General features: G+C 38.8%; 9 annotated features.

The window, feature by feature from the left end:
* Window positions 13849-14416: an enhancer, noted in NCBI's record as "OCT4-NANOG-H3K27ac-H3K4me1 hESC enhancer chrX:61734506-61735073 (GRCh37/hg19 assembly coordinates)". NCBI's record gives its function as "activates a minimal SCP1, AML or CMV promoter by ChIP-STARR-seq in primed H9 embryonic stem cells {active_cell/tissue: H9 hESC(primed)}" and the evidence as "EXISTENCE:reporter gene assay evidence [ECO:0000049][PMID:30033119]".
* Window positions 14417-14985: an enhancer, noted in NCBI's record as "OCT4-NANOG-H3K27ac-H3K4me1 hESC enhancer chrX:61733937-61734505 (GRCh37/hg19 assembly coordinates)". NCBI's record gives its function as "activates a minimal SCP1, AML or CMV promoter by ChIP-STARR-seq in primed H9 embryonic stem cells {active_cell/tissue: H9 hESC(primed)}" and the evidence as "EXISTENCE:reporter gene assay evidence [ECO:0000049][PMID:30033119]".
* Window positions 14986-15553: an enhancer, noted in NCBI's record as "OCT4-NANOG-H3K27ac-H3K4me1 hESC enhancer chrX:61733369-61733936 (GRCh37/hg19 assembly coordinates)". NCBI's record gives its function as "activates a minimal SCP1, AML or CMV promoter by ChIP-STARR-seq in primed H9 embryonic stem cells {active_cell/tissue: H9 hESC(primed)}" and the evidence as "EXISTENCE:reporter gene assay evidence [ECO:0000049][PMID:30033119]".
* Window positions 17828-18397: an enhancer, noted in NCBI's record as "OCT4-NANOG-H3K27ac-H3K4me1 hESC enhancer chrX:61730525-61731094 (GRCh37/hg19 assembly coordinates)". NCBI's record gives its function as "activates a minimal SCP1, AML or CMV promoter by ChIP-STARR-seq in naive H9 embryonic stem cells {active_cell/tissue: H9 hESC(naive)}" and the evidence as "EXISTENCE:reporter gene assay evidence [ECO:0000049][PMID:30033119]".
* Window positions 18398-18965: an enhancer, noted in NCBI's record as "OCT4-NANOG hESC enhancer chrX:61729957-61730524 (GRCh37/hg19 assembly coordinates)". NCBI's record gives its function as "activates a minimal SCP1, AML or CMV promoter by ChIP-STARR-seq in naive H9 embryonic stem cells {active_cell/tissue: H9 hESC(naive)}" and the evidence as "EXISTENCE:reporter gene assay evidence [ECO:0000049][PMID:30033119]".
* Window positions 18966-19533: an enhancer, noted in NCBI's record as "OCT4-NANOG-H3K27ac hESC enhancer chrX:61729389-61729956 (GRCh37/hg19 assembly coordinates)". NCBI's record gives its function as "activates a minimal SCP1, AML or CMV promoter by ChIP-STARR-seq in primed H9 embryonic stem cells {active_cell/tissue: H9 hESC(primed)}" and the evidence as "EXISTENCE:reporter gene assay evidence [ECO:0000049][PMID:30033119]".
* Window positions 19534-20101: an enhancer, noted in NCBI's record as "OCT4-NANOG-H3K27ac-H3K4me1 hESC enhancer chrX:61728821-61729388 (GRCh37/hg19 assembly coordinates)". NCBI's record gives its function as "activates a minimal SCP1, AML or CMV promoter by ChIP-STARR-seq in primed H9 embryonic stem cells {active_cell/tissue: H9 hESC(primed)}" and the evidence as "EXISTENCE:reporter gene assay evidence [ECO:0000049][PMID:30033119]".
* Window positions 20102-20671: an enhancer, noted in NCBI's record as "OCT4-NANOG-H3K27ac-H3K4me1 hESC enhancer chrX:61728251-61728820 (GRCh37/hg19 assembly coordinates)". NCBI's record gives its function as "activates a minimal SCP1, AML or CMV promoter by ChIP-STARR-seq in primed H9 embryonic stem cells {active_cell/tissue: H9 hESC(primed)}" and the evidence as "EXISTENCE:reporter gene assay evidence [ECO:0000049][PMID:30033119]".
* Window positions 20672-21239: an enhancer, noted in NCBI's record as "OCT4-NANOG-H3K27ac-H3K4me1 hESC enhancer chrX:61727683-61728250 (GRCh37/hg19 assembly coordinates)". NCBI's record gives its function as "activates a minimal SCP1, AML or CMV promoter by ChIP-STARR-seq in primed H9 embryonic stem cells {active_cell/tissue: H9 hESC(primed)}" and the evidence as "EXISTENCE:reporter gene assay evidence [ECO:0000049][PMID:30033119]".

The raw sequence follows: 24169 nt of genomic DNA, 5'->3' as shown, positions 1-24169 counted from the left end.
ATCTTCGTATAAAAACAACACAGAAGCATTCTCAGGAACTTCTTTGTGATGTGTGCATTCAACTCACAGTGTTGAACCTCTCTTTTGAAAGGGCAGTTTTGAAACCTCCTTATTGTGGAATCTGCAGGTGGACATTTGGAGATCTTTGAGGCCTATGTTGAAAAAGGAAATATCTTCACATAAAAACTACACAGAAATATTCTCAGAAACTTCTTTGTGTTGTTTGCTTTCAAATCACAGAGTTGAACATTGCTTTTCATAGAGCAGTTTTGAAACCCTCTTTTTGTAGAATTTGCAAGTGGATATTTGCACCGCTTTGAGTCCTTCATTTGAAACGGGATATCTTCACAAAAACTGGACAGAAGCATTCTCAGAAAAATCTTTGTGATGTGTGCATTTAACTCACATAGTTGAAGCTTTGTTTTGATAGAGCAGTTTTGAAACACTCCTTTTGTAAAACCTGCAAGTGGACATTTGGAGCGCTTGAAGGCCTATGGTGAAAGAGGAAATATCTTCACAACGAAAGTACACAGAAGCATTCTCAGAAACATTTTTGTGAAGTTTGCTTTCAAATCACAGAGTTGAACATTCCTTTTCATAGAGCAGTTTTGAAACACTCCTTTTGTAGAATTTGCAAGTGGATATTTGGAAGGCTTTGAGGCCTTCGTTGGAAACGGGATACATTCACAAAAACAAGACAGAAGCATTCTCAGAAACTTCTTTGTGATGTGTGCATTCAACTCACAGAGTTGAAGCGTTCTTATGATAGAGCAGTTTTGAAACACTGTTTTTGTAGAATCTGCAAGTGGGCATTTGGAGGGCTTTGAAGCCTATGATGAAAAAGGAAATATCTTCACATAAAAACTTGATAGAAGCGTTCTCAGAAACTACTTTGTGATGTGTGTACTCAAATCACAGAGTTGAAGCTTCCTTTTGATAGAACAGTTTTGAAACACTCTATTTGTAGAATCTGCAAGTGGACATTGGAGCGCTTTGAGGCCTGTGGTGTAAAAGGAAATATCTTCACAACCAGCATTACCAGAAACTTCTTTGTGTTGTTTGCTTTAAACTCACAGAGTTGAACATTCCTTTTCATACAGCAGTTTTGAAACACTCTTTTTGTAGGTTTTGCAAGTGGATATTTGGTCCGCATTGAGGCCTTCATTTGAAATGGGATATCTTCACAAAAACTGAACAGAAGCATTCTCAGAAACTTCTTTCTGATGTGTGCATTCAACTCACAGAATTGAACCGTTCTTTTGAAAGAGCAGTTTTGAAACACTCTTTTTGTTGAATCTGCAAGTGGGCATTTGGAGGGCTTTGAGACCAATGGTGAAAAAGGAAATATCTTCATATAAAAACTACACAGAAGCATTCCCAGAAACTTCTTTAGGATGTGTGAATTCAACTCACAGAGTTGAAACTCTCTTTTGATAGAGCAGTTTTGAAACCTTCTTTTAATAGATTCTGTAAATGGATATTTGGAGTGCTTTGAAGCCTACGGTGAAAGTAGAAATATCTTCAAAACGAAACTACACAGAAGCATTCTCAGTAATTTCTTTGTGAGGATGGCTTTTAACTCACGGAGTAGAACATTCCTTTTCATAGAGCAGTTTTGAAACACTCTTTTTGTGGAATTTGCAAGTGGATATTTGGAAGGCTTTGAGGCCTTTGTTGGAAACGGGATATCTTCACAAAAACTAGACAGAAGCATTCTCAGAAACTTCTTTGTGATGTGTGCATTCAACTCACAGAGTTGAAGCGTTCTTTTGATACAGCAGTTTTGAAACACTGTTTTTGTTGAGTCTGTAAGTGGGCATTTGGAGCGCTTTGAAGCCTACAGTGAAAAAGGAAATTTTTTTACATAAAAACTAGACAGAAGCATTCTCAGAAACTTCTTTGTGATGTGTGCACTCAAATCACAGAGTTGAAGCTTTCTTTTGATAGTGCAGTTTTGAAACACTCTTTTTGTAGAATTTGCAAGTGGATATTTGGGCGGCTTTGAGGCTTTCGTTGGAAAAGGGATATCTTCACCAAAACTAGACAGAAGCATTCTCAGGAACTTCTTTGTGATGTGTGCATTCAACTCACCGAGTTGAACCTTTCTATTGATAGAGCGGTTTTGAAACACTCTTTTTGTAGTAGCTGCAAGTGGACATTTGGAGCGCTTTGAGGCCTATGGTGAAAGTGGAAATATCTTCACAATGAAACTACACAGAAGCATTCTCAGAAACTTCTTTGTGATGATTACTCTCAACTAACAGAGTTGAACATTTCTTTTGATAGAGCAGTTTTGAAACACTCTTTTTGCATAATTTGCAATTGGATATTTGGAAGACTTAGAGGCCATCCTTGGAAACGTGATATCTTCACAAAAACTGGACAGAAGCATTCTCAGAAACATCTTTCTGATGTGTGCATTCAACTTACAGAATTGATCCGTTCTTTAGAAAGAGCAGTTTTGAAACATTCTTTTTGTAGTATCTGCAAGTAGGCATTTGGAGCGCTTTGAGACCTATGGTGAAAAAGGAAATATCTTCACATAAAACCTACACAGAAGCATTCTCACAAACTTCTTTGTGATGTGTGCATTCAACTCACATAGTTGAACCTTTCTTTCGGTAAAGCAGTTTTGAAAAACTCTTTTTGTAGGATCTGCAAGTGGTCATTTATAACACTTTGAGGCCTATGATGAAAAAGGAAATATCTTCACAAAAAATTAGACAGAAGCATTCTCAGAAACCACTTTGTGATGTGTGCATTCAACTCATGGAGTTGAACCTTTCTTTTGATAGAGCAGTTTTGAAACACTCTTTTTGTAGAACCTGCAAGTGGACGTTTGGAGTGCTTTGAGGCCAGAGGTGGAAAAGGAATTATCTTCACATTAAAAGTGCACAGAAGCATTCTCAGAATCTTCTTTGTGATGTTTGTTTTCAACTCACAGAGTTGAACATTCCTTTTCATAGCGCACTTTTGAAACATTCTTTTTAATTTGCAACTGGATATTTGGAACACTCATTTTGTAGAATCTGCAAGTGGACATTTGGAGCGCTTTGAGGCCTACGGTGAAAAAGGAAATATCTTCACATAAAAACTACACAGAAGCATTCTCAAAAACTTCTTTGTGTTTAGTGCTTTCAACTCACAGAGTTGAACCTCTCTTTTGATAGAGCAGTTTTGAAACCTCAATTTTGTAGAATCTGCAAGTGGACATTTGGAGAGCTTTGAGGCCTATGGTGAGAAAGGAAATATCTTCACCTAAAAACTACACAGAAGCATTCTCAGAAACTTCTTTGTGTTGTTTGCATTAAACTCACAGAGTTGAATATTCCTTTTCATAGAGCAGCTTTGAAACACTCTTTTTGTAGAATTTGCAAGTGGATATTGGACCGCTTTGAGGCCTTCGTTGGAAGTGGGATATCTTCACAAAAACTGGACAGAAGCATTCTCACAAACTTCTTTGTGATGTGTGCATTCAACTCACAGAGTTGAAGCGTTGTTTTCATAGTGCAGTTTTGAAACAGTTTTTGTAGAATCTGCAAGTGGGCATTTGGAGCACTTTGAAGTCTATGGTGAAAAAGGAAATATCTTCACATAAACACTAGACAGAAGCATTCTCAGAAACTTCTTTGTGATGTTTATTTGCAGCTCACAGAGTTGAACCTTCCTTTTCATAGAGCAGTTTTCAAACACTCTTTTTAATTTGCAAGTGGATATGTGGACCGTTTTGAGGCCTTCGCTGGAAAAGGGATATCTTCACAAAAACTAGACAGAAGCATTCTCAGGAACTTCTTCGTGATGTGTGCATTCAACTCACAGAGTTGGAGCATTCTTTTGATAGAGCTATTTTGAAACACTCTTTTTGTAGAATCTGCAAGTGCGCATTTGGAGCGTTTGGAGGCCTATGGTGAAAAAGGAAATATCTTCATATTAAAAAAACACAGAAGCATTCTCAGGAACTTTTCTGTGATGTATGCATTCAACTCCTACAGTTGAACCTCTCTTTGATAGAGCAGTTTACAAACCCTCTTTTTGTAGAATCTGCACCTGGACATTTGGAGCGCTTTGAGGTCTATTATGAAAAAGGAAATATCTTTATAGAAAAACTACACAGAAGCATTCTCAGAAACTACTTTGTGATGTGTGCATTCAACTCCCAGAGCTGAACCTCTCCTTTGATAGAGCAGTTTTGAAATCTCCTTTTTGTAGAATCTGCAAGTGTACATTGGGAGAGTTTTAAGGCCTATGGCGAAAAAGGAAATATCTTCACAAAAAAGCTACACAGAAGCATTCCAGAAACTTCTTTGTTTGCTTTCAACTCACAGAGTTGAACATGCCTTTTCATAGAGCAGTTTTGAAACACTCTTTTTCTATTATTTGCAAGTGGATATTTGGACTGCTTTGAGGCCTTCGCTGGAAACGGAAAATCTTCACAAAAACTACACAGAAGCATTCTCAGGAACTACTTTGTTATGTGTGCATTCAACTCACAGAGTTGAAGCGTTCTTTTGATAGAGCAGTTTTGAAACACTGTTTTTGTAGAATCTGCGAGTGAGCATTTGGAGCGCTTTGAAGCCTATGGTGAAGAAGGAAATATCTTCACATAAAAACTAGAGAGAAGCATTCTCAGAAACTTCTTTGTGATGTGTGCACTCAAATCACAGTTTTGAAACACTCTTTTTGTAGAATCTGCAAGAGGACATTGGGAACGCTTTGAGGCCTGTGGTGAAAAAGGAAATATCTTCACAACGAAAGTACACAGAAGCATTCTCAGTAACTTCTTTGTGATGCTTGCTTTCAACTCACAGAGTTGAGCATTCCTTTTCATAGAGCAGTTTGGAAACACTCTTTTTGTAGAACTTGCAAGTGGATATTTGGACCGCTTTGAGGCATTCGTTGGAAACTGGATATCTTCACAAAAACTGGACAGAAGCATTCTCACAAACTTCTTTGTGATGTGTGCATTCAACTCACAGAGTTGAACCTTTCTTTTGATAGAGCAGTTTTGAAAAACTCTTTTTGTACGATCTGCAAGTGGACATTTGTAACGCTTTGAGGCCTTTGATGAAAAACGAAATATCTTCACATAAAAACTAGGCAGAAGAATTCTCAGAAACCACTTTGTGATGTGTGCATTCAACTCACAGAGTTGAACCATTCTTTTGATAGAGCAGATTTGAAACACTCTTTTTGTACAATCTGCAAGTGGGCAATTAGATCGTTTTGAGACCTTAGATGAAAAAGGAAATATTTTCCCCTAGAACCACACAGCATTCTCAGCAACTTTTTGTTATGTTTGCTTTCAACACACGGAGTTCATCATTCCTTTTCATAGAGCAGTTTTGAAACACTCTTTTTGTAGAATTTACAAGTGGATATTTGGACCGCTTTGAGGCCTTTGTTTGAAACGGGATATCTTCACAAAGCTAGACAAAAGTATTCTCAGAAACTTCTTTGTGATGTGTGCATTCAACTCACAGAGTTGAAGCGTTCTTTTGATGGAGCAGTTTTGAAACACTGTTTTTGTAGAATCTGCAAGTGGGCATTTGGAGTGCTTTGAAGCCAATGGTGAAAAACGAAATATCTTCACATAAAAACTAGACAGAAGCATTCTCAGAAACTTCTTTGTGATGTGTGCACTCAAATCACAGAGTTGAAGCTTTCTTTTGATAGAGCAGTTTTGAAACACTCTTTTTGTAGAATCTGCAAGAGGACATTGGGAGCACTTTGAGGCCTGTGGTGTAAAAGGAAATATCTTGTCAACGAAACCACACAGAAGCATTCTCAGAAACTTCTTTGTGATGTTTGCTTTCAACAGACAGAGTTCAACATTCCTTTTCATAGGGAAGCTTTGAAACTCTCTTTTTGTAGAATTTACAAGTGGATATTTGGACCGCTTTGAGGCCTTCGTTGGAAACGGGATATATTCACAAAGCTAGACAGAAGTATTCTCAGAAACTTCTTTGTGATGTGTGCATTCAACTCGCAGGGTTGAAGCGTTCTTTTGATAGAGCAGTTTTGAAACACTGTTTTTGTAGAATCTGCAGTTGGGCATTTGGAGCGCTTTGAAGCCAGCGGTGAAAAAGGAAATATCTTCACATAAAAACTAGACAGAAGCATTCTCAGAAACTTCTTTGTGATGTGTGCACTCAAATCACAGAGTTGAAGCTTTCTTTTGATAGAGCAGTTTTGAAACACTCTTTTTGTAGAATTTGCAAGAGGACATTTGGAGCACTTTGAGGCCTGTGGTGTAAAAGGAAATATCTTCTCAACGAAACTACACAGAAGCATTCTCAGAAACTACTTTGTGATGTTTGCTTTCTTTCTTTTTTTTTATTATTATACTTTAAGTTTTAGGGTACATGTGCACATTGTGCAGGTTAGTTACATGTGTATACATGTGCCATACTTGTGCACTGCACCCACTAACTCGTCATCTAACATTAGGTATATCTCCCACTGCTATCCCTCCCGCCACCCCCCACCACACAACAGTCCCCAGAGTGTGATGTTCCCCTTCCTGTGTCCATGTGTTCTCATTGTTCAATTCCCACCTATGAGTGAGAATATGCGGTGTTTGGTTTTTTGTTCCTGCGATAGTTTACTGAGAATGATGATTTCCAATTTCAGCCATGTCCCTACAAAGGACATGAACTCATCATTTTCTATGGCTGCATAGTATTCCATGGTGTATATGTGCCACATTTTCTTAATCCAGTCTATCACTGTTGGACATTTGGGTTGGTTCCAAGTCTTTGCTATTGTGAATAATGCCGCAATAAATCTACGTGTGCATGTGTCTTTAGAGCAGCATGATTTACAGTCCTTTGGGTATATACCCAGTAATGGAATGGCTGGGTCAAATGGTATTTCTAGTTCTAGATCCCTGAGGAATCGCCACACTGACTTCCACAATGGTTGAACTAGTTTACAGTCCCACCAACAGTGTAAAAGTGTTCCTATTTCTCCACATCCTCTCCAGCATCTGTTGTTTCCTGACTTTTTAATGATTGCCATTCTAACTGGTGTGAGATGGTATCTCATTGTGGTTTTGATTTGCATTTCTCTGATGGCCAGTGATGGTGAGCATTTTTTCATGTGTTATTTGACTGCATAAATGTCTTCTTTTGAGAAGTGTCTGTTCATGTCCTTTGCCCACTTTTTGATGGGGTTGTTTGTTTTTTTCTTGTAAATTTGTTTGAGTTCATTGTAGATTCTGGATATTAGCCCTTTGTCAGATTAGTGGGTTGTGAAAATTTTCTCCTATTTTGTAGGTTGCCTGTTCACTCTGATGGTAGTTTCTTTTGCTGTGCAGAAGCTCTTTAGTTTAATTAGATCCCATTTGTCAATTTTGGCTTTTGTTGCCATTGCTTTTGGTGTTTTAGACATGAAGTCCTTCCCCATGCCTATGTCCTGAATGGTAAAGCCTAGGTTTTCTTCTAGGGTTTTTATGGTTTTAGGTCTAACATTTAAGTCTTTAATCCATCTTGAATTGATTTTTGTATAAGGTGTAAGGAAGGGATCCACTTTCAGCTTTCTACATATGGCTAGCCAGTTTTCCCAGCACCATTTATTAAATAGGGAATCCTTTCCCCATTGCTTGTTTTTCTCAGGTTTGTCAAAGAACAGATAGTTGTAGATACGTGGCGTTATTTCTGAGGGCTCTGTTCTGTTCCATTGATCTATATCTCTGTTTTGGTACCAGTACCATGCTGTTTTGGTTACTGTAGACTTGTAGTATAGTTTGAAGTCAGGTAGTGTGATGCCTCCACCTTTGTTCTTTTGGCTTAAGATTGACTTGGCGATGCGGGCTCTTTTTTGGTTCCATATGAACTTTGAAGTAGTTTTTTCCAATTCTATGAAGAAAGGCATTGGTAGCTTGATGGGGATGGCATTGAATCTATAAATTACCTCGGGCAGTATGGCCATTTTCACAATATTGATTCTTCCTACCCATGAGCAAGGAATGTTCTTCCATTTGTTTGTATCCTCTTTTATTTTCTTGAGCAGTGGTTTGTAGTTCTCCTTGAAGAGTTCCTTCACGTCCCTTGTAAGTTGGATTCCTAGGTATTTTATTCTCTTTGAAGAAATTGTGAATGGGAGTTCACTCATGATTTGGCTCTCTGTTTGTCTGTTGTTGTATAAGAATACTTGTGATTTTTGTATATTGATTTTGTATCCTGAGACTTTACTGAAGTTGCTTATCAGCTTAAGGAGATTTGGGGCTGAGACAATGGGGTTTTCTAGATATACAATCATGTCGTCTGCAAACAGGGACAATTTGACTTCCTCTTTTCCTAATTGAATACCCTTTATTTCCTTCTCCTGCCTAATTGCCCTGGCCAGAACTTCCAACACTATGTTGAATAAGAGTGGTGAGAGAGGGCATCCCTGTCTTGTGCCAGTTTTCAAAGGGAATGCTTCCAGTGTTTGCCCATTCAGTATGATATTGGCTGTGGGTTTGTCATAGATAGCTCTTATTATTTTGAAATACGTCCCATCAATACCTAATTTATTGAGAGTTTTTAGCATGAAGGGTTGTTGAATTTTGTCAAAGGCTTTTTCTGCATCTATTGAGATAATCGTGTGGTTTTTTGTCTTTGGCTCTGTTTTTATGCTGGATTACATTTATTGATTTGCGTATATTGAACCAACCTTGCATCCCAGGGATGAAGCCCACTTTATCATGGTGGATAAGCTTTTTGATGTGCTGCTGGATTCGCTTTGCCAGTATTTTATTGAGGATTTTTGCATCAAAGTTCATCAAGGATATTGGTCTAAAATTCTCTTTTTTGGTTGTGTCTCTGCCTGGCTTTGGTATCAGAATGACGCTGGCCTCATAAAATGAGTTAGGGAGGATTCCCTCTTTTTCTATTGATTGGAATAATTTCAGAAGGAATGGTACCAGTTCCTCCTTGTACCACTGGTAGAATTCGGCTGTGAATCCTTCTGGTCCTGGAGTCTTTTTGGTTGGTACGCTATTGATTATTGCCACAATTTCAGAGCCAGTTATTGGTCTATTCAGAGATTCAATTTCTTCCTGGTTTAGTCTTCAGAGAGTGTATGTGTCCAGGAATTTATCCATTTCTTCTAGATTTCCTAGTTTATTTGTGTAGAGGTGTTTATAGTATTCTCTGATGGTAGTTTGTATTTCTGTGGGATTGGTGGTGATATCCCCCTTATCATTTTTTATTGCGTCTATTTCATTCTTCTCTCTTTTTTTCTTTATTAGTCTTGCTAGCAGTCTATCAATTTTGTTGATCCTTTCAAAAAACTAGCTCCTGGATTCATTAATTTTTTGAAGGGTTTTTTGTGTCTCTATTTCCTTCAGTTCTGCTCTGATTTTAGTTATTTCTTGCCTTCTGCTAGCTTTTGAATGTGTTTGCTCTTGCTTTTCTAGTTCTTTTAATTGTGATGTTAGGGTGTCAATTTTGGATCTTTCCTGCTTCCTCTTGTGGGCATTTAGTGCTATAAATTTCCCTCTACACACTGCTTTGAATGCGTCCCAGAGATTCTGGTATGTTGTGTCTTTTTTCTCATTGGTTTCAAAGAACATCTTTATTTCTGTCTTCATTTCGTTATGTACCCAGTAGTCATTCAGGAGCAGGTTGTTCAGTTTCCATGTAGTTGAGTGGTTTTGAGTGAGATTCTTAATCCTGAGTTCTAGTTTGATTGCACTGTGGTTTGAGAGATAGTTTGTTATAATTTCTGTTCTTTTACATTTGCTGAGGAGAGCTTTACTTCCAACTATGTGGTCAATTTTGGAATAGGTGTAGTGTGGTGTTGAAAAAAATGTATATTCTGTTGATTTGGGGTGGAGAGTTCTGTATATGTCTATTGGGTCCACTTGGTGCAGAGCTGAGTTCAATTCCTGGGTATCCTTGTTGACTTTCTGTCTCGTTGATCTGTCTAATGTTGACAGTGGGGTGTTAAAATCTCCCATTAGTAATGTGTGGGAGTCTACGTCTCTTTGTAGGTCACTCAGGACTTGCTTTATGAATCTTGGTGCTCCTGTATTGAGTGCATATATATTTAGGATAGTTAGCTCTTCTTGTTGAATTGATCCCTTTACCATTATGTAATGGCCTTCTTTGTCTCTTTTGATCTTTGTTGGTTTAAAGTCTGTTTTATTAGAGACTAGGATTGCAACCCCTGCCGTTTTTTGTTTTCCATTTTGTTGGTAGGTCTTCGTCCATCCGTTTATCTTTTTTTGAGCCTTTGTGTGTCTCTGCACGTTAGCTGGGTTTCCTCAGTTACAGCACACTGATGGGTCTTGACTTTATCCAATTTGCCAGTCTGTGTCTTTTAATTGGAGCATTTAGTCCATTTACATTTAAAGTTAATACTGTTATGTGTGAATTTGATCCTGTCATTATGATGTTAGCTGGTGATTTTGCTCATTAGTTGATGCAGTTTCTTCCTAGCCTCGATGGTCTTTACATTTTGGCATGATTTTGCAGTGGCTGGTACCGGTTGTTCCTTTCCATGTTTAGTGCTTCCTTCAGGAGCTCTTGTAAGGCAGGCCTGGTGGTGACAAAATCTCTCATCATTTGCTTGTCTGTAAAGTATTTTATTTCTCCTTCACTTATGAAGCTTAGTTTGGCTGGATATGGAATTCTGGGTTGAAAATTCTTTTCTTTAAGTTTGTTGAATATTGGCCCCCACTCTCTTCTGGCTTGTAGGGTTTCTGCCGAGAGATCCGCTGTTAGTCTGATGGGCTTCCCTTTGTGGGTAACCCGACCTTTCTCTCTGGCTGCCCTTAACATTTTTTCCTTCATTTCAACTTTGGTGAATCTGACAATTATGTGTCTTGGAGTTGCTCTTCTCGAGGAGTATCTTTGTGGCGTTCTCTGTATTTCCTGAATCTGAATATTGGCCTGCCTTGCTAGATTGGGGAAGTTCTCCTGGATAATATCCTGCAGAGTGTTTTCCAACTTGATTCCATTCTCCCATCACTTTCAGGTACACCAATCAGACGTAGATTTGGTCTTTTCACATAGTCCCATATTTCTTGGAGGCTTTGTTCATTTCTTTTTATCCTTTTTTCTCTGAACTTCCCTTCTCGCTTCATTTCATTCATTTCATCTTCCATTGCTGATACCCTTTCTTCCAGTTGATCGCATCGGCTCCTGAGGCTTCTGCATTCTTCACGTAGGTCTCGAGCCTTGGTTTTCAGCTCCATCAGCTCCTTTAAGCACTTCTCTGTATTGGTTATTCTAGTTATACATTCTTCTAAATTTTTTTCAAAGTTTTCAACTTCTTTGCCTTTGGTTTGAATGTCCTCCAGTAGCTCAGAGTAATTTGATCGTCTGAAGCCTTCTTCTCTCACCTCGTCAAAGTCATTCTCCATCCAGCTTTGTTCTGTTGCTGGTGAGGAACTGCGTTACCTTGGGGGAGGAGAGGCGCTCTGCTTTTTAGAGTTTCCAGTTTTTCTGTTCTGTTTTTTCCCCATGTTTGTGGTTTTATCTACTTTTGGTCTTTGATGATGGTGATGTACAGATGGGTTTTTGGTGTGGATGTCCAATCTGTTTGTTAGTTTTCCTTCTAACAGACAGGACCCTCAGCTGCAGGTCTGTTGGAATACCCTGGCGTGTGAGGTGTCAGTGTGCTCCTGCTGGGGGGTGCCTCCCAGTTAGGCTGCTCGGGATTCAGGGACCCACTTGAGGAGGCTGTGTGCCCGTGCTCAGATCTCCAGCTGTGTGCTGGGAGAATCACTGCTCTCTTCAAAGCTGTCAGACAGGGACATTTACTTCTGCAGAGGTTACTGCTGTCTTTTTGTTTGTCTGTGCCCTGCCCCCAGAGGTGGAGCCTACAGAGGCAGGCAGGCCTCCTTGAGCTGTGTTGGGCTCCACCCAGTTCGAGCTTCTCGGCTGCTTTGTTTACCTAATCAAGCCTGGGCATTAGGGGCGCCCCTCCCACAGCCTCGCTGCCGCCTTGCTGTTTGATCTCAGACTGCTGTGCTAGCAATCACCGAGACTCCATGGGCGCAGGACACTCCGAGCCAGGTGCGGGATATACTCTCGTGGTGCGCCGTTTTTTAAGCCCCTCGGAAAAGCGCAGTATTCGGGTGGGAGTGACCCGATTTTCCAGGTGCCCTCTGTCACCTCTTTAATTGACTCGGAAAGGGAACTCCCTGACCACTTGCACTTCCCGAGTGAGGCAATGCCTCGCCCTACTTCGGCTCGCGCACGGTGCGCGCACCCACTGACCTGCACCCACTGTCTGGCACTCCCTAGTGAGATGAACCCGGTACCTCAGTTGGAAATGCAGAAATCACCCTTCTGTGTCGCTCACGCTGGGAGCTGTAGACCAGAGCTTTTCCTATTTGGCCATCTTGGCTCCTCCCCCTGATGTTTGCTTTTAACTCACAAAGATGAACATTCCTTTTCATAGAGCAATTTCGAATCACTCTTTTTGTAGAATTTGCAAGTGGATATTTGGACGGCTTTCAGGCCTTCGTTGGAAAAGGGATACCTTCACAAAAACAAGACAGAAGCATTCTCAGAATCTCCTTTCTGATGTGTGCATTGAACTCAATGACTTGAACCTTTCCCTTGATAGAGCAGTTTTGAAACACTCTTTTTTGTACAATCTGCAAATGGACATTTTGTAGCACTTTGAGGCCTATGGTGAAAAAGGAAATATCTTCATATAAAAACTAGACAGAAGCATTCTCAGAAACCTCTTTGTGATGTGTGTATTGAACTCACAGAGTTGAACGATTCTTTTGATAGAGCAGTTTTGAGACACTCTTTTTGTAGAATCTGCAAGTGGACATTTGGAGCACTTCAAGGCCTGAGGTGAAAAAGGAAATATGTCTTCGCATTAAGACTACACAGAAGCATTCTCAGAAACTTCTTTGTGATGTTTATTTTCAGCTAACAGAGTTGAACGTTCCTTTTCATAGAGCAGTTTTGAAACACTCTTTTTAATTTGCAAGTGGGTATTTGGAACGCTTTGAGACCTTCGCTGGAAAAGGGATATCTTCACAAAAAATTGGCAGAAGCATTCTCAGGAACTTCTTTGTGATGTGTGCATTCAACTCACAGAGTTGAAGCCTTCTTTTGATAAAGCTGTTGTGAAACACTCTTTTTGTTGAATCTGCAAGTGAGCTTTCGGAACGTTTTGAGGCCTATGGAGGAAAAGGAATTATCTTCATGTAAAAACAACACAGAAGCATTCTCAGGAACTTTTCTGTGATGTATGCGTTCAACTCCTACAATTGAAACTCTCTTTTGATAGAGCAGTTTAGAAACCCTCTTTTTGCAGAATCTGCAACTGGAAATTTGGTGCGCTTTGAGGCCTATGGTGAAAAAGGAAATATCTTCACATAAAAACTACGCAGAAGTGTTCTCAGAAACTTCTTTGTGATGTTTGCATTCATCTCACAGAGCTGAACATTCCTTTTCATAGAGCAGTTTGGAAACACTCTTTTTGTAGAATTTGCAAGAGGATATTTGGACCGCTTTGAGGCATTCGTTGGAAAAGGGATATCTTCATAAAAACTGGACAGAAGCATTCTCACAAACTTCTTTGTGATGTGTGCATTCAACTCACAGAGTTAAACCTTTCCTTCGATAGAACAGTTTTGAAAAACTCTTTTTGTAGGATCTGCAAGTGGACATTTGTAACGCTTTCAGGCCTATGATGAAAAACGAAATATCTTCACATAAAAATTAGACAGAAGCATTCTCAGAAATCTCTTTGTGATGTGTGTAATCAACTAACAGAGTTGAAGCTTTCCTTTGATAGAGCACATTGGAACACTCTTTTTGTAAAATCTGCAAGTGGACATTTGGAGCGTTTTGAGGCCTGTGATGAAAAAGGAAATATCTTCACATAAGAACTACACAGAAGCATTCTCAACAACTTTTTTCTGATGTTTACTTTCAACACAAAGTCTTCAACATTCCTTTTCACAAAGTAGTTTTGAAACACTCTTTTTGTAGAATTTAAAAGTGGATATAAGGACCTCTTTGAGGCCTTCGTTGGAAACGGGATATCTTCACAAAAACTAGACAGAGGCATTCTCAGAAACTACTTTTTGATGTGTGTATTCACCTCACAGATTTGAAGCGTTCTTTTGATAGAGCAGTTTTGAAACACTCTTTTTGTAGGATCTGCAAGTGGGCATTTGGATTGCTTTGAAGCTTATGGTGGATAAGGAAATATCTTCACTTAAAAACTAGACAGAAGCATTCTCAGAAACTGCTTTGTGATGTGTGCATTCAACTTACAGAGTTGAACTTTCCTTTTGAGAGAGCAGTTTTGAAACAGTCTTTTTGTAGTATCTGCAAGTGTTCACTGGAGTGCTTTGAATCCTATGGTGCAAAAGGAAATATCTTCACATAAAAACTAGACAGAAGCATTCTCTGGAACTTCTTTGAGATGTGTGCATTCAACTCACAGAGTTAAATCTGTCTTTTGATAGAGCAGTATTGAAACACTCCTTTTGTGGGATCTGCTTGTGTATATTTGGAACTCTTTGAGGAATTCTTTGGAAAAGGTTATCTTCACATAAAAACTAGACAGAAGCATTCTTAGAAAGTTCTTTGTGATGTGTGCATTCAGCTCACAGAGGTGAAAGTTTCTTTTGATAGAGCAGTGTTGAAACACACCTTTGGTCGAATCTGTAAGTGTTCATTTGTAGCGCTTTGGGGCCTAAGGTGCAAAAGGAAATATCTTCACAGAAAAACTAGACAAAAGCATTCTCAGAAACAACTTTGTGATGTGTGTGTTCAATTCACAGAGTTGAACATTTCTTTCGATAGAGCAGTTTTGAAACACTGCTTTTGTAGAATCTGCTTGTGGATATTTGGAGCTCTGAGTAATTCGTTGCAAACGGGAAATCTTCACATACAAACTAGACAGAAGCATTCTCAGAAACTGCTTTGTGATCTGTGCATTCAACTCCCAGAGTTGAACCTTCCTTTTGAGAGAGCAGTTTTGAAACAGGCTTTTTGTTGTGTCAACAAGTAGATATTTGGAGCGATTTGAAGCCTATGATGGAAAAGGATATATCTTCACATACAAACTAGACAGAAACATTCTCAGAAACTGCTTTGTGATGTGAGCATTCAACTCACAGAGTTGAACCTTCCTTTTGAGAGAGCAGTTTTGAAACACTCTTTATGTTGTATCTGCAAGTGGATACTTTGGGCGATTTGAGGCCTGTTATTGAAAAGGAAAGATCTTCACATACAACCTAGACAGAAGCATTCTCAGAAACTGCTTTGTGATGTGTGAATTCAACTCTCCATGCTGAACTTTCCTTTTGAGAGAGCAGTTTTGAAACAGTCCTTTTGAAGTATCTGCAAGTGGATATTTGGAGCGATTTGAGGCCTATGATGGAAAAATGAAATATCTTCACATACAAACGAGACAGAAGCATTCTCAGAAACTGCTTTGTGATGTGTGCATTCACTTCACAGAGTGGATCCCTTCTTTTCATAGAGCACTTTTGAAATAGGCTTTTTGTAGAATCTGCAAGTGTTCATTGAGAGCGCTTTGAAGCCTATGGTCGAAAAGGATATATATCTTCACATACAAACTAGACAGAAGCATTCTCAGGAACTTCTTTGAGATGTGTGCATTCAACTAACAGAGTTGAATCTGTCTGTTGATAGAGCAGTATTGAAACACTCCTTTTGTAGAATCTGCTTGTGGATATTTGGAACTCTTTAGGAATTCGTTGGAAACGGGTATCTTCACATAAAAACTAGACACAAGCATTCTCAGAAAGCTCTTTGTGATGTGTGCATTCTATTCACAGAGTTGAACATTTCTTTGGATAGAGTAGTGTTGAAACACACCTTTTGTAGAATCTGCAAGTGTTCATTTGGAGTGCTTTGAGGCCTGTGATGGAAAAGGAAATGTCTTCACATAAAAACTAGATAGAAGCATTCTCAGAAACACCATTGTGTTGTGTGCGTTCAATTCACAGAGTTGAACCTTTCTTTTGATAGAGCAGTTTTGAATCACTGCTTTTGTGGAATCTGCTTGTGGATATTTAGAGCTCTTTGTGGAATTCGTTGTAAACGGGATATCTGCACATAAAAAGTAGACAGAAGCATTCTCAGAAACTGCTTTGTGATGTGTGCATTCAACTCACAGTGTTGAACCTTCCTTTTGAGAGAGCAGTTTTGAAAGAGTCTTTTTGTAGTATCTGCAAGTGGATATTTGGAGCGATTTGAGACCTATGATGGAAAAGGAAATATCTTCACATAAAAACTAGAGAGAAGCATTCTCAGAGGCAGCTTTGTGGTGTGTGCATTCACCTCACAGAGTGGAACGCTTCTTTTCTTAAAACAGTTTTGAAACAGTCTTTTTGTAGAATCTGGAAGTGTTCATTTGGAGCACTTTGAAGCCTATGGTAGAAAAGGAAATGCATTCACATAAAAACTAGACAGAAGCATTCTCAGGAAATTCTTTGAGATGTGTGCATTCAACTAACAGAGTTGAATCTGTCTTTTGATTGAGCAGTATTGAAACACTCCTTTTGAAGAATCTGCTTGTGGATAACTGGAAATCTTTGAGGAATTCGTTGGAAAAGGTTATCTTCACATAAAAACTACAGAGAAGGATTCTCAGAAAGTTCTTTTTGATGTGTGCATTCAACTCACAGTGTTGAAGCTTTCTTTTGATAGAGCAGTGTTGAAACACACCTTTTGTAGAATCTGCAAATGTTCATTTGGAGGGCTTTATGACCTGTGGTGGAAAAGGAAATATCTTCACATAAAAACGAGACAGGAGCATTCTCAGAAACTGCTTTGTGATGCGTGCATTCACCACACAGAGTGGAACCAACCTTTTGAGAGAGCAGTTTTGAAACTGTCTTTTTGTAGCATCTGCAAGTAGATCTTTTGAGCGATTTGAGGCCTATGATGGGAAAGGAAATATCTTCACATAAAAACTAGATAGAAGAACTCTAAGAAACTGCTTTGTCAGGTGTGCATTCACCTTACAGAGTGGAACTCTTCTTTTCATAAAGCAGTTTTGAAACAGTCTTTTTGTAGAATCTGCAAGTGTTCTTTTGGAGCGCTTTGAAGCCTAAGGTAGAAAATGAAATATCTTCACATAAAAACTAGACAGAAGCATTCTCAGGAACTTCTTTGAGATGTCTGCATTCAACTAACATAATTGAATCTGTCTTTTGATAGAGCAGTATTGAAACACTCCTTTGTAGAATCTGCTTGTGGATATTTGGAACTCTCTGAGGAATTCGTTGGAAACGGGCATCTTCACATAAAAACTAGACAGAAACATTCTCAGAAAGTTTTTTGCGAAGTGTGCATTCTACTCACAGAGTTGAAACTTTCTTTTGATACAGCACTATTGAAACACACCTTTTGTAGTATCTGCAAGTGCTCTTTTGGAGTGCTTTGGTGCCTACGGTGGAAAAGGAAATATCTTCACATAAAAATTAGACAGAGGCATTGTGAGAAACATCATTGTGATGTGTGTCTTCAATTCACAGAGTTGAAATTTTATTTTGATAGAGCAGTTTTGAAACACTGTTTTTGCAGAATCTGCTTGTGGATATTAAGAGATTTTTGAGAAATTCGTTGTAAACGGGATATCTTCACATACAAACTAGACAGAAGCCTTCTCAGAAACTGCTTTGTGATGTGTGGATTCAACTCACAGAATTGAACGTTCGTTTTGAGAGAGCAGTTTTGAAACAGTCTTTTTGTAGTATCTGCAAGTAGATATTCTGAGCGATGTGAGGCCTATGATGCCAAAGGAAATACCTTCACATACAAACTAGACAGAAGCATTCTCAGAAACTGCTTTGTGATGTGTGCATTCAACTCACAGAATTGAACCTTCCTTTTGAGAGAGCAGTTTTGAAACAGTCTTTTTGTAGTATCTGCAAGTGGATATTTGGAGCGATGTGAAGCCTATGATGGCAAAGGAAATATCTTCACGTACAAACTAGACAGAAGCATTCCAAGAAACTGCTTTGTGATGTGTGCATTCAACTCACAGAGTTGAAACATCCTTTTGAGAGAGCAGTTTTGAAACAGTATTTTTGTAGTATTTGCAAGTGGATATTTGGAGCGATTTGAGGCCTGTGATGGAAAAGGAAATATCTTCACATAAAAACTAGACAGAAGCATTCTCACAAACAACTTTGTGATGTGTGCATTCACCTCACAGAGTGGAACCCTTCTTTTCATAGAGCAGTTTTGAAACAGTCTTTTTGTAGAATCTGCAAGTGTTCATTTGGAGCGCTTTGAAGACTGTGGGGGAAAAGGAAATATCTTCAAGTAAAAACTAGACAGAAGCATTCTCAGGAAATTCTTTGAGATGTGTGCATTCAACTAACAGAGTTGAATATGTCTTTTTATTGAGCAGTATTGAAACACTTCTTTTGCAGAATCTGCTTGTGGATATTTGGAAGTCTTTGAGGAATTCGTTGGAAACGGTTGTCTTCACATAAAAACTAGAGAGAAGCATTATCACAAAGTTCTTTGTGATGTGTCCATTCAACTCACAGTGTTGAAGCTTTCTTTTGATAGAGCAGTGTTGAAACACACCTTTTGTAGAATTTGCAAGTGTTCATTTGGAGCGCTTTGGGGCCTATGGTGGAAAAGAAAATATCTTCACATAAAAACTAGATAGAAGCATTCTCAGAAACATCTTTGTGATGTGTGTGCTCACTTCACAGCGTTGAAACTTTCCTTTGATAGAGCAGTTTTGGAACACTGCTTTTGTAGAATCTGCTTGTGGATATTTGGAGCTCTTTGAGGAATTCGTTCTAAACGGGAAATCTTCACATACAAACTAGAGAGAAGCATTCTCAGAAACTACTTTGTGATGTGTGCGTTCAACTAACAGAGTTGAACCTTCCTTTAGAGAGAGCAGTTTTCAAACAATCTTTTTGTAGTATTTGCAAGGGGATATTTGGAGCGATTTGAGGCCAATGATGGAAAAGGAAATACCTTCATATACAAAGTAGACAGAAGCATTCTCAGAAAATGCTTTGTGATGTGTGCATTCAACTCACAGAATTGAACCTTCCTTTGGAGAGAGCAGTTTTGAAAGAGTCTTTTTGTAGTATCTGCAAGTGGATATTTGGAGCGATTTGAGGCCTATGACGGAAAAGGACATATCTTCACAAAAAACTAGACAGAAGCATTCTCACAAACAACTTTGTGATGTGTGCATTCACCTCACAGAGTGGAACCCTTCTTTTCATAGAGCAGTTTTGAAACAGTCTTTTTGTAGAATCCGCAACTGTTCATTTGGAGCGCTTTAAAGCCTATGGTGGAAAAGGAAATATCTTCACATACAAACTAGACAGAAGCATTCTCAGAAACTGCTTTGTGATGTGTGAATTCAACTCAGAGTTGAAAATTCCTTTTGAGAGAGCAGTTTTGAAACAGTCTTTTTGGAGTACCTGCAAGTGGATATTTGGAGTGATTTGAGGCCTATGATGGAAAAGGAAATACCTTCACATACAAACTAGACAGAAGCATTCTCAGAAACTGCTTTGTGATGTGTGTCTTCAACTCACAGAGTTGAACCCTCCTTTGGAAAGAGCAGTTTTGAAACAGTCTTCTTGTAGTATCTGCAAGTGGATATTTTGAAAACTTGAGGCCTATGATGGAAAAGGAAATATCTTCACATACAAACTAGACAGAAGCATTCTCAGAAACTGCTTTGTGATGTGTGCATTCAACTCACAGAGTTCCAACCTTCCTTTTGAGAGATCAGTTTTGAAACTGTATTTTTGTAGAAACCGCATGTGGATATTTGGAGCGATTTGATGCCTATGGTGGAAAAGGAAATATCTTCACATAAAAACTTGACTGAAGCATTCTCAGGAACTTCTTTGTGATGTGTGCATTCAACTAACAGAATTGAATCTGTCTTTTGATAGAGCAGTACTGAAACCCGCCTTTTGTAGAAGCTGCTTGTGGATATTCGGAACACCTTGAGGAATTCTTTGGAAACGGGTATCTTCACATAAAAACTAGACACAAGCATTCTCAGAAAGTTCTTTTTGATGTGTGCATTCAACTCACAGAGTGGAACCTTTCTTTTCATAGAGCAGTTTTGAAACAGTCTCTTTGTAGAATCTACAAGTGCTCATTTGGAGCGGTTTGTGGCCTATGGTGGAAATGGGATTATATCTTCACATAAAAACTAGACAGAAGCATTCTCAGAAACAACTATGTGATGCGTGTGTTCAATTCACAGAGTTGAAGCTTTCTTTTGATAGAGCAGTTTTGAAACACTGCTTTTGCACAATCTGCATGTGGATATTTGGAGCTCTGAGGAATTCGTTGTAAACGGGATATCTTCACATACAAAGTAGACAGAAGCATTCTGAGAAACTTCTTTGTGATGTGTGCATTCAACTCACAGAGATGAACCTTCCTTTTGAGAGAGCAGTTTTGAAAGTCTTTTGTAGTATCTGCAAGTAGATATTTTGAGAGATTTGAGGCCTATGATGGAAAAGGAAATATCTTCACATACAAACCAGACAGAAGCATTCTCAGAAGCTGCTTTGTGATGTGCGCATTCAACTCACAGAGTTGAACCTTCCTTTGGAGAGAGCAGTTTTGAAACAGTATTTTTGTAGTATCTGCTAGTAGATATTTGGAGCGATTTCAGGCCTATGATGGAGTAGGAAATATCTTCACATACAAACTGGACAGAAGCATTCTCAGAAACTGCTTTTTGATGTGTGCATTCAACTCACAGAGTTGAACACTTCTTTTGAGAGAGCAGTTTTGAAACAGTCTTTTTCTGGTATCTGCAAGTGGATATTTGGAGGGATTTGAGGTCTATGATGGAAAAGGAAATACCTTCACATACTAACTAGACAGAAGCATTCCCAGAAACTGCTCTGTGATGTGTGCATTCAACTCACAGAGATGAACGTTCCTTTTGAGAGAGCACTTTTGAGTCTTTTTGTAGTATCTGCAAGGGATATTTGGAGCGATTTGAGGCCTATGATGGAAAAGGAAATCTCTTCACATAAAAACTAGACAGAAGCATTCTCAGAAACTGCTTTGTGATGTGGGCATTCACCTCACAGAGTGGAACCATTCTTTTCATAGAGCAGGTTTGAAACTGTCTTTTTGTAGAATCTGCAAGTGTTCATTTGGAGCGCTTTGAAGCCTATGGTGGAAAAGGAAATATCTTCACATAAAAACGAAACAGAAGCATTCTCAAGAACTTCTTTGTGATGTGTGCATTCAAGTAACAGAGTTGAATTTGTCTTTTGATACAGCAGTATAGAAACACTCCTTTTGTATTATCTGCTTGTGGATATTTGGCACTCATTTAGGAGTTCGTTGGAAATGGGTATCATCTTCACATAAAAACTATACAAGCATTCTCAGAAAGTACTTGTGATGTGTGCATTCAGCTCACAGAGTTGAACCTTACTTTTGATAGAGCAGTGTTGGAACCCACCTGTTGTAGAATCTGCAAGGTTTCATTTGGAGTGCTTTGTGGCCTCTGATCGAATGGAAATATCTTCACATAAAAACTGGACAGAAGCATTCTCAGAAACACCTTTGTGATGTGCGTGTTGAATTCACATGGTTGAAACTTTCTTTTGATAGAGCAGTTTCGAAACACTGCTTTTGTAGAATCTGCTTGTGGATATTTGGAGCTCTTTCAGGAATTCGTTTTAAACGCGATATCTTCACACACAAACTAGACAGAAGCATTCTCAGAAACTGCTTTGTGATGTGTGCATTCAACTCACAGAATTGAACTTTCCTTTTCAGAGAGCTGTTTTGAAACAGTCTTTTGTGGTATCTGCAAGTGGATATTTGGAGCGATTTGAGGCCTATGATGCAAAAGGAAATATCTTCACATAAAAACTAGAAAGAAGCATTCTCAGAAACTGCTTTGTGATGTGTGCATTCACCTCACAGAGGGGAACCCTTCTTTTCATAGAGCAGTCTTGTAACAGTCTATTTGTAGAATCTGCAAGTTTTCCTTTGGAGGGCTTTGAAGCCTATGGTGGAAAAGGAAATATCTTCACATAAAAACTAGACAGAAGCATTCTCAGAAAAAACTTTGTGATGTTTGTGTTCAATTCACGGCATTGAACCTTTCTTTTGATAGAGCAGTTTTGAAACACTGCTTTTGTTGGTTCTGCTTGTGGATATTAGGAGCTCTTAGAGGAATTCATTGTAAACCGGATATCTTCACATAAAGAGTAGACAGAAGCATTCTCAGAAACTGCTTTGTGATGTGTGCCTTCAGCTCACAGAGTTGAAGGAACCTTCCTTTTGAGAGAGCAGTTTCAAAACATTCTTTCTGTGGTATCTGCAAGTGGATATTTGGAGCGATTTGAGGCCTATGATGGAAAAGGAAATATCTTCACATAAAAACTAGACAGAAGCATTCTCAGAAACTGCTATTTAATGTGTGGATTAACCTCACAGAATGGAACACTTCTTTTCATAGAGCAGTTTTGAAACATTCTTTTTGTAGAATGTTCAAGTGTTCATTTAGAGCGCTTTCAAGCCTTTGGTGGAAAACGAAATATCTTCACATAAAAACTAGACAGACAGAAGCATTCTCAGAAACTACTTTGTGATATGTGCATTCAACACACAGAGTTGAACATTCCTCTTCATAGAGCAGATTGCTATCACTCTTTTTGTAGAATCTGCAAGTGGATATTTGGACCAATTTGAGGCCTTCGTTGGAAACGGGATTTCTTCATATAAAACTAGACAGAAGAATTCTCAGAGACTTCTCTGTGATGTGTGCATACAACTCACAGAGATGAAACTTCTTTTTGATAGAGCAGATTTGAAACACTCTTTTTGCAGAATTTCCAAGAGGATATTTAGAGCGCTTTGAATCCTACGGTAGAAAAGGCAATATCTTCATAAAAAAAATAGACAGAATCAGTCCCAGAAACAAATTTGTGATGTGACCATTCAACTGACAGAGTTTAAATTTTCTATCGATAGAGCAGTTTTGAAAACCTCTTGTTGTAGAATTTGCAAGTGTGTATTTAGAGTGCTTTGAGGTCTATGGTAGAAAAGGAAATATCTTCATATAAAAAGAAGACAGAAGCATTCTCAGTAACTACTCTGTGATGATTGCATTCAACTCCCAGAGTTGAACATTCATTTTGATAGAGCAGTTTGCAATCACTCCTTTGTAGAATCTGCAAGTGGAGATTTGGACCGCTTTGAGGCCTGTGGTAGTAAAGGAAAGAACTTCACATGAAAACTAGACAGTAGCACTCTCACAAAATTCTTTGTGACGATTGAGTTAGCTCAGAGAGCTGAACATTCATTTTGATGGAGCAGTTTCCAAACAAACTTTTTGTAGAATTTGCAAGGGGATATTTGGACCTCTCTGAGGATTTCGTTGGAAACGGGATCAAATTCCCATAACTGAACGGAGGCATTCTCAGAAACATCTTTGTGATGCTTGCATTCAACTCACAGAGTGGAAACTTCCTTTGATAGTGCAGGTTTGCAACACCCGTGTAGTAGAATCTGCAAGTGTATATTTTGACCATTTTGTAGTCTTCGTTTGAAACGGCTATATCTTCACATCAAACCTAGACAGAAGCATTCTCACAAAGTTTTCTGCGATGACTGCATTCAACTCTCAGAGTTGAACAATCCTTTTGATGGAGGAGTTTTGAAACCCACTTTCTTTGGAATCTGCAAGGGCATACGTGTACCTCGTTGAACATTTCATTGGAAAAGGGATCATCTTCACATAAAAACTAAACAGAAGCATTCTCGGAAACTACTTTGTGATGTTTGTATTCAACTCCGAGAGTTGAGCTTTCCTTTTGAAAGAGCAGCTATGAAAGAGTCTTTTTCGAGAATCTGCAAGTGGACATTAGGAGGGCTATGAGGCCTGTGGTGGAAAAGGAAATATCTTCACATAAAAAACATAAAAACTAGATAGAAGCATTCTCAGAAACTACTTTGTGAGGATGGCATTCAACTCACGGAGTTGAACAATCCTATTGATAGAGCAGATTGGAAACACTCTTTTTGTAGAATCTGTAAATGGAGATTTGGACTGCTTTGAGGCCTACGGTAGTATAGGAAGGAACTTCATATAAAAAGCAAACGGAAGCATTCTCAGAATTTTCTTTGTGATGATGGAGTTTAACTCACAGAGCTGAACATGCCTTTTGATGGAGCAGTTTCCAAATACA

This window comes from Homo sapiens, chromosome X (assembly GCF_000001405.40).
Source record: "Homo sapiens chromosome X, GRCh38.p14 Primary Assembly".
Classification (NCBI taxonomy): Eukaryota; Metazoa; Chordata; class Mammalia; order Primates; family Hominidae; genus Homo; species Homo sapiens.
Note: the sequence above shows the minus strand (reverse complement) of the source record. Positions and strands in the feature narration are given on the sequence as shown.